General features: G+C 43.1%; 2 long non-coding RNA genes and 1 pseudogene across 2 annotated transcripts in view, besides 1 other annotated feature; 2 read left to right on the top strand and 1 right to left on the bottom strand.

The window, feature by feature from the left end:
* LINC01387 (long intergenic non-protein coding RNA 1387) overlaps window positions 1-414 on the top strand; it is a 79238-nt gene extending 78824 nt beyond the window's left edge. Inside the window, exon 6 of the long non-coding RNA NR_120518.1 lies at window positions 296-414. This is a non-coding gene — a long non-coding RNA (long intergenic non-protein coding RNA 1387). The remainder of the gene's footprint in view (window positions 1-295) is intronic.
* LOC107985176 (uncharacterized) overlaps window positions 1-17360 on the bottom strand; it is a 78185-nt gene that overhangs the window by 21261 nt on the left and 39564 nt on the right. The window lies entirely within an intron of this gene.
* Window positions 11301-11597, top strand: RN7SL282P (RNA, 7SL, cytoplasmic 282, pseudogene; annotated as a pseudogene).
* Window positions 15308-16120: an enhancer, noted in NCBI's record as "NANOG-H3K4me1 hESC enhancer chr18:6605546-6606358 (GRCh37/hg19 assembly coordinates)". NCBI's record gives its function as "activates a minimal SCP1, AML or CMV promoter by ChIP-STARR-seq in primed H9 embryonic stem cells {active_cell/tissue: H9 hESC(primed)}" and the evidence as "EXISTENCE:reporter gene assay evidence [ECO:0000049][PMID:30033119]".

Consider the following 17360-nt stretch of genomic DNA (forward strand, 5'->3'; position numbering starts at 1 on the left):
TGAAGGAATGGTGAATAGAAAGTAAAAAGAAATTTAAACCATGTTCTCATCAGTAGACATCAAAGGTCTGTATCTTATCCATAAATTGAGTTGAAGATACAATAAAAGTATTAGCCACAGTAGACATTAGGTAGACTGAACTTAAGATGTTCTTGTGCTATGTAAAACATGCTTAATTTCAAAACTCAGAAATTGCCTAATGAAAAACATACCCAGTAAGAGGTGGGGAAAGTCCATTTCTATTATTGGAGAGGAACAGAATACAACTATTAGCAATATTCTTGTTTCTTTGCAGCTGCCGCTAAGTAAAGGTCAAGGCACGGGGCAGCTGGATGTCCGTGTGGATCCTGCAAATGGAGAGGCTCTGCTGTGGAAACAGAATGGAACTTAACCTCAGCTAAAACAGTGGTGGAGAGCAGAGTGATTTTCTAAATAATTAAGTTTTTTCTTTTACATACATTAAGCCATACACACAGCCTGAGGCATTGACATTTTAATTATTTTAATCAGTCTTTGATGACCTCCTAGGGTTTGAGTTTTTTTTTGTTGTTGTTGTTTTTTCTAATGGAGTCTGGCTCTGTAGCCCAGGCTGGAGTGCAATGGCGCGATCTCGGGATCTCGGCTCACTGCAGCCTCCACCTCCCGGGTTCAAGCGATTCTCCTGCCACAGCCTCCCAAGTAGCTGGGCCTACAGGCATGCACCACCATGCCCTGCTAATTGTTTGTATTTTTAGTAGAGACAGGGTTTCACCATGTCAGCCAGGATGGTCTTGATCTCCTGACCTCATGATCGGCCCACCTCGGTTTGAGCTTTTTTGAGGAACCCAGTCATGAGTTCCAACTGCTCATCTTTGCCTGACCCTCCAGCAAGGTCCTGCTGTGCTAGTTCTTTTTCCCCCTACATTTTCCCCAGAAGACTCAGAGCCTACTGTGTAGCAGGCACTGCACCAGGCACTTTGCTATGTTTCCTCTTTAAATCTTCTCAGTAACCCTATGAAGGAGGTCTCCTTTTACAGTAGAGACAGCAGAGGTGCCAAGAGATTAAGGAGGTTGCTTAAGGCCAAGGAGCAAGGACCTGGCAAACTTGAGATGGCTCTTTGGATCTGTACATCTGTGCACTTGTCTTTGCAAAAATGTTCATTGGCCACCACCAATTTTCTTACCTGACTATAGGCCAAAGAATGCACGTTTTGCATATTCTGCATAAAGTTTACATTCAATTTCTTTTCCAAATTTTTTTTAAAAGACCTTAGGGAAACATCACAAATTTTATTTCTTTTACGTTTTTCTCTCATCGAATCTCTTTCTTTCCCTCTTTGACAGCTTTATTGCATAGGTTTAAGTAGTCTCACTACCTGCGAGAATTTGATAAGAAATCAGAGATAATAAATCTCAAATTGAGAAAGCATTCATGGCCCATTAGTCATTTTCTAAGTACATAGTTACTCCTGGAAATGCCATCATCCTGGAACCTACTTCTTCACAGATGAGACCATATGAGCGAATCCATAAAAGCATTTTTGGCCCTGAACACTCAGAGGAGAAGTATGATGGGGTGATGCAGAAATGTTCTTAGAATTATCAACATTTGTTACTGTAGAATAGCCATAGTTTTTTACATTGGGAATACTCATGTGCCAGAAGAAAAAGAATGGTTATTATTGTACAACACAAGAAAGATATTTAAAATAGAAGGGGATCCGACTATATCTTCTATACATTATCTTGGCTACTAATGCAACTTCATGGTTGGGTTGTGAGAAGCTATGCTTGGTCTTGTTCTTTAATATTTAATAGAACTCAGATTTTTAAAACTGAGGAGTTAAAATGGGTCCAAGTAAAATAAAATCAAATAGAGTAACATCTTTATTGCAAAAGATTATTTGTAATGCAGACACATGCACGTGCACGCGTACACACACACACACATACATTTTTACAGCTTTATTAAGTGGGAAATGTTATCAAGGCATGACTAGATCCTTGTTGTGACTCTTTTGGTTTTAATCTTACACTGTTAAACTCACAAGAAACTCTCTATGTGCCCATTTTAAAGGAGGGGCAGTGGTGAAGGTGAGAGGGGTTGATAGTCACTGATTGCTAACTGGCAAAGTTGCGTGAATTCTCTGTTTACATTTTCTAAATGTCAGCAATGTGCCCAATTCTCTGTTCTGAATGCTGCTCCCAGCTGGCTGCTTTACAAGCACAGGGTGTACATGAGTAACAGAGACAATCTCAGAAAACCTTGGGAAGTCCAGTTCCTCCAGCTGGCCCTCAGGGTCATTGAAAGTGAAGGCTATAGAGCCAAGGGCAGAAAGCAAGGGATGGAGAAGGCTGATTCAGTGCATTCTGGGAAATTCACAGGGGTGACTTACTAAATGTGGTACTCTGTCTTGTAGGTGCCTTACCAAAAAAATTAAGTAAATCTAATCCCTTCCACCTCCAAGGTCACCAGCTTATTGTAATGCCAGTCACCTGTACTTGTGTTTTATTTACTTCCTTCTTTCAAGTGTTCCCATGTTGAACAGTGTACATATCTTGATCATGCATTTCTTCACTGGTTTAAAAAGCAGGTGTTGGGAACCAGGGGCTACATGCCTTTTATTAGGTTGGTGCAAAATGAATTGTGCTTCTTGCCGTTACATTTAATGTCAAAAATCGCAAAATTACTTTTGCACAAACCTAATACAGTCTTGCAGTATAAGTCCAAGGTAGCTCATGTTCCTCTGTGTGTGTGCGCGCACGCGTGTGCGTGTGTGTTGGAGGTGCATGTGTGTGTGTACCTACAAATATAAGAGTTTGCTAATACAGCTTTGGAACAACCAAAGAGAGTTCTCAAGGCCATTTAAACCTCAGGGAAGTGAATTTCCTCTGCAAACAGGTAACCAAAACAAATCTGAACTTCCAGAGTTGCAAATGCATAGAGTGGAAGGCAGCAATTTAGTTAAAAATCCAAGCCATTACCTTGTGTTTCTGTTTCCTAAGGAATGTGTGCTCCGGAAGAGAAAACATTAGTATCCTATCCATCAAAGTAGGGAACACATTGTTTTATCTCTTTCCCTAGAAGTTTTAGGAATTTCCATTATATCCTGTGGGAATTGAAATATCCTTCAGAGATAATCTGCTGCGTGTTTTATCCTCTATCTTATCGACCATACATTCTTTATGCATTTGCTTATATCATGAAAGGCATCTTTATTTAAAAGTGATATTGTTTAGAAATGAATAGTTGGACATCAGTTGACATCTTTTCTCTCACTTAAAATATTTATAGCCAGAAAAACTTGTGTTTCATAACATCTGCTTGGACTTCTGATTCATAATGATTTAAATATATGATTACTACAAGATTAGCTGCAGAAACTAATGGCTTATCCATCTGATCTGATGTATTTTAGGCATGAATGGCTCCCCTCCCCCAGTCATGTGTACCTCTGAGTTATACCCTTTTATACTTGATGAGACAGATCTTATGTGTGTGTTAAAAGTGTGGGTTTGGGGAATGCTGATGTGGGGACTGCAAATGCTAGTCAGTCCAGAGTGGCTTAACAATAGGCAGAAAAGGGGTGGGACCCACATACTGTAGTCACATGGTGCTGGGGGGTCAGGAGAAGGAACCAGAGTCAGTGTGAGTACAGAGCAGAGAGAATCTGGAGTTAATCAGAGTAGAAGTTATCTGGGTAGTCTGTGGATATCTACCTTGCTGGGGGCAGTGTCGGGGGTTTTATACTCAGGGAGGCAAAGAGTCCAAAAATTCTGGATGTGGATTATTTTCCTCTGTCTTGTGCCTGCTGGTATAATCTTTGGCTGACAATATCATTATTAGTCCATTCTTGTATTGCTATGGAGAGCTACCTGAAATTGGGTAATGTATGAAGAAAAGAGGTTTAAAGACTCACAGTTCCACAGGCTATACAGAAGCACAGTTGGGGAGGCCTCAGGAAACTTACAATCATGGCAGAAGGCAAAGGGGAAGCAGGCACATCTTACATGGGTGGAGAATGAGGAAGAGAAAGAAGGGGGAAGCGCTACACACTTTTAAAACAACCAGATCTTGTGAGAACTCACTATCATGAGAACAGCAAGGGGGAAATCCATCCCCATGATCAAGTCACCTTCCACCAGGCCTCTCCTCCAACACTGAGGATTATAATTTGACATGAGATTTGAGTAGGGAAACAGAGCCAAACTATATCATTCACTGGAGATAACTAGTTTCAAAACAAGCAACTCCCTTAAAAAATAAGTGTCTGTCTTAGTCTGTTTGTGCTGCTATAACAATATATCTGAGACAGGGTAATTTATAAATAATACGTATTTATTTCACAGATCTGGAGGCTGGGAAGCCCAAGATCAAGGCACTGGCAGACTTCATGTCAGGTGTGGCCTGCTCTCTGCTTTCAAGATGGCGCCTTCTTGTTGTGTCTTTGTTTGGCGGAGGGGTGGATGCTGGACCTTCACATGGCAGAAGGGGCGAACGTTATACCCGCTCATGGGGAAGGCAGAAGGGCAAAAGGGCCAGTTAGTTAAGGGTACCAACCCCATTCATGAAACTGGAGTCCTCATAACTTAATTACCTCCTAAAACCCCCTCCTCTTGGTACTACCATATGGGGCCTTAGGTTCCAACATATGAATTTGGTGGGACACCCATTCAAACGATAGAAGTGTCCATGCTCAACATTTAAAAATCTGTATAATGCATTATTGAAGAGTTTAAATATTCTAGATTTATTTTCTTTTCAAAACCTGGAAAAATTGCTCAACATATTATTGGGTGTTTTGCCATTTCTATTATCTAGAATGATAGATTCAATGAATATATTTTAGTATATTATTTTGGTATCACAGGCTAAGAAACACCAACTTAGGAAACCTATCTTTCAAAAAAAATCACGTTCACATATAGGATGGCCTACAGACAAAATATGACCCGTAACATTTGGCAACATTTGTTCTTTGACCACTCAGTGTTTTCTTTCTAAACATTGAATATGAATGCCTTTAGGCAGGGCACGTTTTCTCGTTGCTGCAAAGGTTCCTCTGCTCCCAGTCAGTTTAATCTTTGCAGAGTCACACATGTATCTGTATCTGTATATCCAGATCTATCTCTCTAACTCATCTACGATTTGTATGTATGTATGTATCTATCTATCTATCTGTCTGTCTATCTATCTATCTATCTATCTATCTATCTATCTCTACATCTTAACTCTCTGGCTCCAAGACTTTTATAAATGTTCAATAAATGTATAAAAACAGCTAACAGGTATTGAAGGCTTACCATGCTGCAGACACAGCCATAGGATGCAAGTACTATTTTTACTTCCATTCTAATATACAGAGGAAATCTAAGAAAATTGCCCAAGGTAACACAGATGGTAAATGGCAGAGGCTGGGATACAAACTCAGGGGGCCAGCTCCAGAGCTGTTACTCTCCACAACCTTCTCAGCACAGTAAACAGCCAGCGGCAAACTCTCCTTTCACTGTGTGAGCGCTTCCACGTCCAGGCTGTGATCCCAGCACAGCCCAAGCTTTATCTACTTCTGAAGTTCAGATGCAGAAACATCTGAAAACCTCACATGCACATGTGGGGGCACAAGGACTGAGTGTTCTGGGATCTGACGGACTGACAGGAAAAGACACTCATCTGCTAATAAGGCAGCCTCTATAGCCAGGACCAGCTATCAGATTTGCAGGGCCCAACGCAAATGGAAAATGGAAAATGTAGGGCCTTTGTTCAAAAGGCAGAAACAAAGCGCTGTTAAAATGCAGAAATAGACAATGTTTTGCTTTCTTCCCGGCCACTCTTAATCTGTGATGGCACTTTTTGTTTGTTATTAAATGTGCTCCCTCATGGACTCAGAGCCATCCAGAGGCCAGCACAGGCTGCTGGTGCCCATGGCCCTGCCCTGCAAGGCCTGCTCATATCTACATCTATACACAGGTGTGTTATGTACATTTTCTCTGCCTCAATTCCTTATTTATCACATCAGGTTGGAGTAGAACAACCTCATAAGCTTATTGTGAGGATTAAATAAGTAGACATACATAAGAATGCTCACAATAGTTTCTGACATGTAGTAAACAATATGCAAGGGCTAGGCATTTTTCCATTTATTATTTCTTATTATTTTTGAACCCGAACTAACACTTGGATGTCTAGTCAATATTTAGTAATCAGGAACTAATTCAAGGATTTCAAGATGTCTGAGACTTTGTAAGGCAAATAAGAGTGTTGACTCAATACTGTATCTATCCTGTGCAAGGCATAGGGCTAGGAGTTTCAAGGGCATCCAGGATTCCACCAAGTGGTCAGTGATCTTCGGGATGATGGTCTATTGGGGAGGTAATGCAGGAACAAAGATGCTAGGATGAAGCCATGGACCTAAAGTGTTGTAGGGACAGTAAGAGCTTCTGGGACTCAGTGAATGAAACCAAGGAGGGTTCCTCCAAGAAGTTCGTGTGAGCCAAGTTCTGCAGGGTAGGAGGTCCCTAATGTCGAAGGATAAAGTTTTTTTTTTTTTTTTTGAGACAGAGTCTTGCTCTGTCGCCCAGGCTGGAGTGCACTGGCACGATCTCGGCTTACTGCAACCTCAGCCTCTCAGGTTCAAGTGATTCTCCTGCCTCAGCCTCCCGAGTAGCTAGGATTACAGATGTGTGCCACCACCCCCAGCTAATGTTTGTGTTTTTAGTAGAGGTGGGGTTTCACCATGTTGGCCAGGCTGATCTCCAACTCCTGACCTCAGGTGATCCACCCACCTTGGCCTCCCAAAGTGGTGGGATTACAGGCGTGAGCCACCCCATCCCGCAAAGGATAAATAACTTTTTGAAAAACTAAAATCATGACTATCTTAAAAATATTTAATGAACACATGTCCAAGATTTTATTCCACTCATTAACTAATGATAGAATCATTACAATATTTTTAAATGATTCCAAAGAAGATCCAAAGGATATATTTAGGCAACCAGGAATGTTAGAATAAGTTTGCTAATGGATGCAAAACCAGCCTCTTGCCCAGAAGGGAGTCAATTGCTCCTGCACCTGGACAAGATTCATTTGCATCATCTCTATTGATGAGAATCGCTGGAATTACTGTGAGTTTTCGACAATTTACAGAGGTATAAAGTAACTCAAAGACAATGAGAGCACAGACTGTATAGAGTTGAATAATCTCGTACAGTGCATCTAGCATTTCATTGAAAAACCTTTCTTAGTAATCTTTTACGCCCATTTTAAAGTTTTGGACAAATTTTCTGGACACCACTGCAGTAATGAATGCGTGGGAGCGTGGTGGAAAGGTGCATAGAGGCCGTTTGTTATCAAAGATGCACAGGGAACAGGAATCTCAGAGGTGAAGCTGGCGGCATCACCTCTCCTGGCTTCTCTTTCAGACAGCTGGTAGGTCCCAGCAGGGCTTGGGGCAGCTCAGGTCCTGCCTGGTACTTCAGGGCTTTGGGGAAAGAGATCCAACTCTTTCTGCTAAGGGGTCTCAACAGCCTCTGGCTATTCAAACACATTAAGCTTTATCACTTATTTGCACCTTGCTGAAGGTCAAACGGGCTGTGAGTTCTTTTATCACAGTCATTTCCTACTTAATATAACTGAAGGCAAGACAATGAAGACGTGGGACTTGGTGGAGGAGGGGAGACACTGCCTGGTATGTATCTACAAAGTCATAGGAAATTCTCTCATTTCATTTATTGTGGACAGCAACACAGCAGCTTTACAAGGTTGGTAGCATTATTCCCAATTTTGCAAAGGAGGAAACTGAGAGATGAAGGAATTTTCCCAGGGTGAAGCTTGGAGAGGCAGAGATTGAACTCTGTACTTTGTCCTTAGACAAGGAGCCAAGAAAGGAGGGCAACGTTGGGCCTCAGGCCAAGGACCATGATCAGGGCTCTGGGGGCTTGGGGCTGGAGGTGGAGAAAGATGAGGAAAGGTGGTAGAACCTGAAGACTATGCCTGGCCTTGGCTTTCAAGCAAAGACACCTTATATCTAAGTGTGGCTTCATCCCTGGGTGACAGATGGGGCTAATATATTCATCAGAAGGCCCATGGACCATTCCTAACTGTCATCGCTTACAGGCTACAGAGTGAGTGCTTCACTTTGCTGAACTTCCGCTACCTTATCTACAGAACAAGGGGTCTGGGCAAGAATCCCTCTCAGGTCTTCTTCAGCACCAGTGCCATGTGACTAAGAAACTCAGAAGGTAATTAACAACAGTAACATGCGAGGGAAAACAGCTTGTTACAAGCACTAGAGAGAGAAAAAATAAAAACCAAATTCCACCCAAAGAGAATTTCAAATCAAATGTAGGTAAATCTGCCAAATAACTCTGCCTGTTAAATGCAATCTTTCTGGCCTCTACTCCCCCTGGTCGGTAAATATCCAAAATTGTGATGCTGTCCGGCTGCAGCTCTTTCCTAAGCTTTTTAAGGACATTAGCTTTGGTCCTTTGCATGACTGAGAGATGAAAGGGTTACGCCCTGGTTCTGTGGATGCCACAAACCTAGGGGTTATTTACGGTTCTGCTGTCTTTTCTGGTTGCTGGGACCTTCTGCGTCCTGGTGCCATTAGCCTGCCTTCCGCTGTCTCTCCAGGCTTGCTCAGGCTTTTCACCTTCACTGTTGATTACAAAACCTCAGCTGGATGCTGCCGAATGTAAACCTACAGCTCAGCCTAAAATAAAAGGAAAGTCAGCTCGGGAGATGGGGTGAGCACTTGAAACACCTGGGGCTGGATTGAGGTTGGCTTTTAACCACATTTCTAGGAGTAAACCCTCCAGCCAGCGCTGGCCAGTGTCACACAGTGTGACTGTTCCAGCCATCCTGTCCCACCCTGATCAACTCTGGGTCTCCATTCCTGCATCTTGTGCTTAGGCCATTGGGGAAGAATGGGCGATAAATGCATCAATTGACAAGTCCGAAGCTCCAAAGCAATCCTTACTGTTAAAAGCCCTCTCCCAAGTCACAGCCTACTGAGGGCACGTTATCTAATAACCCCAAGGCTTTTACCAAATAGAGTTAGTCTTATGAAGTGAACATAATACTCAATGAGAAACTGGAGATTTGTTTTTCCATTCAGTAAATATTTAAGGAGTACCTATGTGTGTCAGCCACTATTCTAACAGCATTAACACAATAGCAAAAGTCCCTGACTTCATGGAACTTACATTCTAATGAGCAGACAGTAGCAATAAACAAATAAGTATATGATATAAAGAAATATGCAGAAAATAAGATAAGGAAAAGGGATGGAGAGTAACAGAGGGATATTATTTTATTTAGAATGTCATGAAAGGCCTCTGCTATAAAGATGTCATTTGAACAGATCTGAATGAAGTGAAGGAATAAGTTGTCCATATCTGGGGAAGAGGTTCCAGGAAACAAGGGCAAAGATCCTGAAGTTTGTGAGTTTTCTGTCTAGTAGGTGGGATAGCGGAGGTGTCATGGAGGCCACCATGGCTGAAGTGAAGTGATCAAGGGGAAGACTAGTAGGAAATGAGGTCAGAAGGTAGGGACATGGATTAAAGTGAAGCTTAGGGGCCATTAGGAACATTAGCATCCTGCCCGCCCCCCTACCCCCTCCCCCGCCCCAGGGAAGGAAAAGCCATTGGAGGGCTGGGGCAAAAGAGTGACATCCTCGGACATATATATACATATATATATTTTTTTTTTTTTTTTTTTGAGACAGAGTCTCACTCTGTCACCCAGGCTGGAGTGCAATGGCACGATCTTGGCTCACTGCAACCTCCGCCTCCTGGGTTCAAGCGATTCTCCTGCCTCAGCCTCCCGAGTAGCTGGGATTACAGGTGTGCATCACCACACCCAGCTAATTTTTGTATTTTTGGTAGAGATGGGGTTTTGCTACGTTGGCCGGGAATGTCTCGATCTCCTGACCTCGTGATCTGCCCACCTTGTCCTCCCAAAGTGTTGGGATTACAGGCGTGAGTGACCGCACCCGACCCCACACTTATATTTTTTAAAGATCTCTCTAACTGCTGTATCAGTCAGAAAAATAGGATAAAGAGTGGCAAAGACAGAAGACAATCGCGGACTGTCACTGTAGTTTAGGTCAGAGCACATCTAACCGTAACATACAAATGAACCACCTGGGCATTGACAGAAAATGTCATTCTGATTCATTCTGTTGGAGGTGAGACTGAGATCTCGCATTTCTAACAAGCACCCAGGCAAGCTGGGGCTGCTGGGCCACAGACCACCCTTTGCGTGGCAAGGGTATAAGTGGCATAGAACAGTGGCTTGCAAGATAGAGGTGAAACGGACGAGAAATCCTCAGATTTTGAATCTACTTTGAAGGAAGAGCCAACAGGATTGTCGGTGAATTGCAGGTGAGGTATGAGGTAAATCAATGAGGTTTTGGACCAAGCACTGAAACACACAGAGGCACCATTTTATGAAGATGCGATCTCAGAAAGAACTTGTTTAGGAGTTAAAAAAGAAAGAGAGAGAAAAGAAAACAACCAAAAGTTTAATTCTGGACATTGTAAGTTAGAGATGCCTGTTAGAAATCCCAGTGATGGACTTGAGTAATCATCTGGGAATATGATTCCAGAATTCAGAGGTGAAGTCTGGGCTTGAGATATAAATTTGAGAATTGCCAGCTTGCAGTTTATTTGTAAAGCTCTGGAGCTGGACAACATTACAGAAGGCGTGAGGGTAGTTGGAAGAGAGCACTGAGACCTGGAGTACTCCAGTATTTGGAAATTGGGAAGACGGCCAGGTGCAGCAGGAGTCAGAGAAGCAGCCCCAGTTGGGAAATAGGAAAGGAGAGAGTCCTCTGGAAGTCAAATGAACAAAGCATTTCAAGAAAGAGATTGATTACTTACAATCAATGCTGCCAGTAGATCAATATGATGAAGACTGAGAACAGAACATTGGATCTGGCAACATGGAGGCCACCATGGCCTCACTGACAGCAGTGTCCGTGGAGTGATAGTGATGAGAATCTGTCCAAGAGAGAACGGGAAGAGGAGAAGTATAGACAGAGGACACACAATTCTTTAAAGCAATTTTGCTGTAAAATGCAACAGAAATTGGACAGTAGTGGGAGATAGATTTTTTTTTAGTGAGATGGGTGAAGTGCTGTTATTAGCATTTTATTATTCTTATGGGGATAGGGAGAAAACCTGATGATTCATAGGCAGGAAATGTTGTCCTGTAGTAGATGAGAGGGTGTGGCCAGAGACAAGCCCGTGCTTTCATAGTATTGAGGGTAGAACACAGTTGCAGGTGGGTAATAAGTTTGCTCCAAGAAGCATGTATGAGTTCTGCTGGGCGTGATGGCACACATCTGTAGTCCCAGCTACTTGGAAGACCGAAGCCCGAGACGGGCTTGAACCCAGGAGCCCTGGGCCGTAGTGTGCTATGCCAATCAAGTGTCTACACTAGGTTTGGCATCAATATGGTGACTTCTCAGGAGCAGAAACCATAAGGTTGCCTAAGGAGGGGTGAACCAGCCCATGTCAAAACCAGAGCAAGTCAAAACTCCCATACTGATCAGTACTGTGATCCTGCCTGTGAATAGGCACTACACTCCAGCCTGAGCAACATAGCCAGACCTAATTCTCTCTTTTTTTTTTTCTTTTGAGGTGGCGTTTCGCTCTTGTGGCCCAGGCTGGAGTGCAATGGTGCAATCTTGGCTCACTGCAACCTCTGTCTCCTGGGTTCAAGCGATTCTCCTGCCTCAGCCTCCCAAGTAGCTGTGATTACAGGCGTGCACCACCACACCCAGCTAATTTTTGTATTCTTAGTAGAGACAGGGTTTTGCCATGTTGGCCAGGTTGATCTGGAACTCCTGACCTCAGGTGATCTGACCGCCTCAGTCTCCCAAAGTGCTAGGATTACAGGCGTGGGCCCCTGCACCCGGTCTGGACCCTATCTCTTAAAAAATTTTTAAGAAGCATCTATAAGCTCCGTCCTAACTGTTTCTGTTGTTTCCAGCAAGAGACAAGATCATCAGCTGAGAGTGACAGAACCAATATTAAGTAGAATAACATCTCTGTCCTCGCAGGATCCCTGTTAGACACATGAAGCAAACCTGCAAATAGACTTCCTGTGGAATAGAAAGTGCTGTGGGCTGAGGTAGAGGTAAGTGCAGGATCGCATGGGAGGCCCACTAAAACCAGGGTAGGCACTCTGGGCAAAGCCCCCAGCAGCAATGACCCTGGAGTTGAGGCAATGAGAGTTGGCTGAGTGTGGGTGTGGTGTTCCTGGAAGAGAGACCTGCTGAGGCTGAGAGAATGCAACACTTCCAAAACTCAGTCTGTCTTCCGGAGTAATGTTTCCCACTAAAGCGAGAGAAGCCAGGGCTGCCACTCAGGGGGATGCAGTTTCCGTGCTGCAGAAGGTACCAGCAGAAGAGAAGCCGGGGCTGGAGTCCAGCACATGGACATTAGGCTGATCTGCATCCAAGAGGCAGCATACACCCACCCCAAATGGGGCACATGTTTCTAATTCATTCACCCAGAGGGGAGCCCTTTGCTTTTTCTAATTGGCATATAAAGTTGCCTGATAGGCCAGGAGAACCCAGTTACGTGTCATTAGCCCTTCAGTATACTTTGGGTTATTTCCTCTAAGAGATGCAAACAGTTGTACTGAGTACTGTATAAAAGAAAGACTTTCTTAAGCCAGTTTAACCTAGGTAGTGTAGGTCGGAAGTGAGCCTGCTCAGTCTTGGGCTCAGTGTTTAGTGTAGCTGGGAGCTGGGCTCTGAACTGGAAATTGGAAGCCTACCTGGCTCCTGTAGCACTGGAGGCCATGCCAGCTTCTCTTTGTCCCTGCCTGGTCCATGGCCCTGAGGTTGGGAAGTTGAGAGCCAGAGGTTTGCAGTATGAGGTATTTCAGGGTATTTCAGGCTCAAAGCAGCAATGCAAAATCATCAATTCTCCACTTGACCTTTGCGGTGTCCCTCAGACCTGGTAATGGACACAGGAAGAGGAAGCTGAGCAGCCACCAGACTGGATGACTTAAGAGGACCTGCATTGCATTATAAACTCCACAGCGTCAGGAACCAGGGAGTTGGCAGGTGGTAGATGCTCAATAAATGTCTGTTAAGTGAATGTGTGAGTGAATGAATGAATGAATGGTGGAGCAGATAGCAAATGGTCTCCAAAGAGAAGGTCAGAACATCCACAGGATACAGTAAGAGGGAAGAGTGTAGGGTTGGGGATGGGGGACAAAGAACTCCTACTCATGGTGGGAAGTTTAAGGTTCCAAAAATTCTGCAGGATTGTTTTATTGTTGTTATCATCACCTGCACATCTTCCCTCAGGGGAGTATTTCTTAGAAAGCAATTCTTATACTGATAACCAGCAAATAATTAAGTTGTTTAGAGCTTGAAAAATTTGTTCTCTGACTAATTAAACTTTATGTATCTAGCTGTTCACTGAACATTATTCTAACATTGCACTATGAATATTGCCACGTTATGGACCTTAGGTTCCATTAGATTGGCATTAGTACCACTCAGGAACATTTTATGATGTGTGCTGATAAACTCCCAAGACAAATGAACCTGAGACATGTGTGAGCATCCCATAAAACAAACCCTGTTGGACTTTGATTTTGAATGTTTTGTGATCACAACTAAAATGGTAACATAACACCCTTTTGCCCAGAACATAAAACTTGACAAACAGCCTACGGGAATGCCATCCATTTATCGGCATGTGATGCGCTGGAAAAACGTAACTATAATATATACAGTGTGGCAGTTGAACATAAGTAGGTTTTATAGCTGCAGCTGTGACACATCCTTCAGCTGAAATCCTGGGACAATTCTGAGAACTTCAAATGTCAGTTTGTCAGTGTCATTTAAGAAAGGGTCTTTGAGAATTTACATTTATTTAGAGAACTGATAGTCACCAGATAATATATGAGTAATAATTCTTTAAAAAAATAAACAGGCTGGGCACTGTGGCTCATGCTTGTAATCCCAGCACTTTGGGAGGCCGACGTGGGCAGATCACGAGGTCAAGAGATCAAGACCTTCTTGGCCAACATGGTGAAACCCAGTCTCTATTAAAAATTAGCTGGGCATGGTGGTGTGCGCCTGTAGTCCCAGCTACTTGGGAGGCTGAGGCAGGAGAATCACTTGAACCTGGGGGGCAGAGGTTGCAGTGAGCCGAGATCAGCCGCTAGGTGGCTGAGTGAGACTCCATCTCAAAAAAAAAAAAAAAAAAAAGAAAACAAAAGAAAATAAACAAAATGTGCTGTGCACTTTCAAATGTCAAGCATATACTGTAAAATAAAATAATATCTATACAACATATGTACAAATGTCACATACTTTCAGAGCACATTGAGAGGACAAGCTGTTTTCCTATCCCTTCTGTTAGAGCTGGCTAATATGCATGTCATTTTAGCAACTTTCTTCTGCACTCAAGCATTTCCTGGGCCCTTGGAAGGCTGCCCAAATACCCTTACCTGTCCGCCAGCCCAGCCCAACACTCCCTCGAGGCAAAAAGACTCAATTGTTGTATTTTAACCTGTCAAATTTCCTGTCCTGGGTTATTTTTAAACAATTGAGGGCGGGTGCAGGTGCAGTGGCTTATGGCTGTAATCCAAGTGTTTTGAGAGGCCAAGGGAGGAGGATTGGTTGTGGCCAAAAGCTTGAGACTCTTCTGAATTACATAGTCAGATCCTATCTCTACAAAAAAATTACAAAATAGCTGGGCATGGTGGTGCATGCTTGTAGTCCCAGCTACTAGGGAGGCTAAGCCGAGAGGATACCTTGAACCCAGGAGTTCAAGGCTGCAGTGAGCTATTATTGTGCCACTGCATTACAGCCTAGGCAACAGAGCAAGATCCTGTCTCTAAAATAATAATAATAATTTTTAAAGGATGAGATGGCTACTATCATATTGGTTACCAAGGAATTTTGAATAATTGAATAACATTGTACTTTATAAAATATAATGAGGAGTCACCAGAAATATTTGTTATATTTCCAGCTAAGGGTTTGAAATCAAAGAAGCTTCCTTGGCATGGGCTATCACCTTGAGAGTTGCAGTGTGACTGTCAGATGGTGGACAGTGCCCTGGACATCCCTTGGCAGCATGGAGGGGTGGGGCAGAGTGGCGGGCCTGCAATCTTTGCCCATACGTCACCCACATCTATGTCTCTGAAATCTACACAGTAGCTATACATTTCCTGAGAGCAACATTTATTTTTCGGATGTCAGAACTGTAGTTTAAAAAAATAGATTTTTGGATGTATAAATCATAATTTGGTAGTTAGAGTTGGCCAGAATCTTGCCTTCCTATTAAAAACAAAAGTCAATTCTGAAATACAAGCCTAACATAAAAATGTACAACACTGTGTAAACATGGTGTACTGAAATCTGGGTAAGTGGATCTCTTGGCTGCCTGCAAAGCACAGAAACTTCTCTCTGAATCATCCAGTGCCTCAGAAATGTGTGTGCTGTAGACAAGCCAGAGTCATTTGGGGCAGCTGGCATTTTAAAACTTGAACGGGAAAAGCTGTAGCTACCACGAGCCAATCTCCCACAAAGGGGTAAGCAGAACTGAGGATGGAAAGGTATCGCCAGTGAGAATGAAGGGGGAAGAGAAGGAACACAGATTGAGTGCTTAGTGCTCAGAGGCTTTAAATACCTTATCTCATTTCTCTCCGATGATAACACTACAGGCTAAGTTTTATTATTCCTAATTTACAGTTTAGAAAACTTTGGCTCTGAAAAGTTGAATGAGTTGCCCAAAGTTATTCTCGTAGCTGAACTGAGCACCTAGGTTTGAAGATTTCTCTTATTAACGACTCCAGAGTGTAGTCCATTAGGCCATCCCATGTCGACAGAGAAGAGGAATCTCTGCACATTTGGGGTTAGCGAGCACTTCCTCAGGACCAAGCTTTGTGTTAGACAGCAGAATTTAAATGAGAGATAAGGCTCAGTTCCTGAGGAGGCCAAGAGATTGCAGCAACAGTTCTTCATCCCAGCCAGAAACCTCCGAATCAGTCCCATCCTTCTTCCTATAGCTATAACCATCGTCCAAAGACATCTGAAGTCATAGACTTAGATGACTGTGTAGTCATAGACTTAGCTGCCATGGAGTCAGTGCTTAATTTGTGCCAAGTGTTAGGTTCTTTAGAGAACCCAAAGGAAATAAGGACAAATATATCCAAAAATTGAACCACAGGGCATTTTGGAATTTACTACAGTATAATCGGAAACATGTTTTTATTTTCTAATGAGAGAGTTTGGTAAATTTCCTCATGCCTGAATATACAGCATGTAGACAATGAACATCTTCAACTGATCTACACCGCTAGGACATAACTTCCTGCCCAGCACGGAGCTTGGGAAAGCCATACCCCCAAAGGAGGCACCATGGAGAGCTTTTTATCTACCTACTACAGAGAAAAGAAAACAGCTTCTGGAGTTACCATGGATATGGCCCAATCTCTGTTTTGGATAGCAGATTAGGTTGATAACAGATATACTGAGCACAATTATCAATGATTTCTGGAGTTTTCTGCTGGCTACCCTTCAAACTCTGATTTCAAGGGGAAAAATAATTTCACCTTTTCAATTGTGTTTATTCAACCAGGCTAGGCAAAGGGATTAGGAGGCAACTTGATATTTACATTCTAACTGCTCATTGTGTTAACAGTCCCCCCATTGTGTTCTGGAGCTACTGCAACTGCTTACTTTCTAATCAATGTTTTTCCTCTAGGACTGTTTTCTCTTCCTATCTACTGAGAAATGATATTGGTTTCTCTCAAGAAGATTCTGTTACCACAAAGTCATCAAAGGCAAGCCAAAGTTGTACTTTTACGAAGCCTTTAAAAATATTTTGATGATGTTTCAAAAGACTGAAGAGATGAGGTTGAGAAAGTGAAGTAAATATAAGATTGAAACATTAACAGAAACACTTGTGCCTGTGAGAAGGAGAGCTTTGCCAGACAGGGCCTCAACACCAGTGAATATTCCTTCTATTAGCTGAAGAAGGTCCTTATCATAAGACCTCCACCTCCTAGCCTGCTTGGTTAACTGAGATGTCATTAATCCACCCAATAAATGGTCACCAAGAGTGTCAGCAACCAACTTTCCTGTAGACAATGAGAAATGCCGGGGAGGAACAGGCTCCTTAAATATCCAGCCTTTCTGTGGGAGCCATGTCCTCTCCTTCCCAGGACCCCACCTGGCACAGACGCTACCTGGCAGTCCTCCTGAGCAGCTGCTCGGCCACCTGACAGCTGAGGGCTTAACCAGCGACCATTTGTTTCCACTACATCCCGAGGTAACAAGGATAGCAATGCCCAAGGGCTCAGTGCCAACACAGAAACAACACAGAAAGAGAACTGCCAATTTGTC

The sequence above is a fragment of the Homo sapiens genome, chromosome 18 (genome assembly GCF_000001405.40).
Source record: "Homo sapiens chromosome 18, GRCh38.p14 Primary Assembly".
Taxonomy (NCBI): domain Eukaryota; kingdom Metazoa; phylum Chordata; class Mammalia; order Primates; family Hominidae; genus Homo; species Homo sapiens.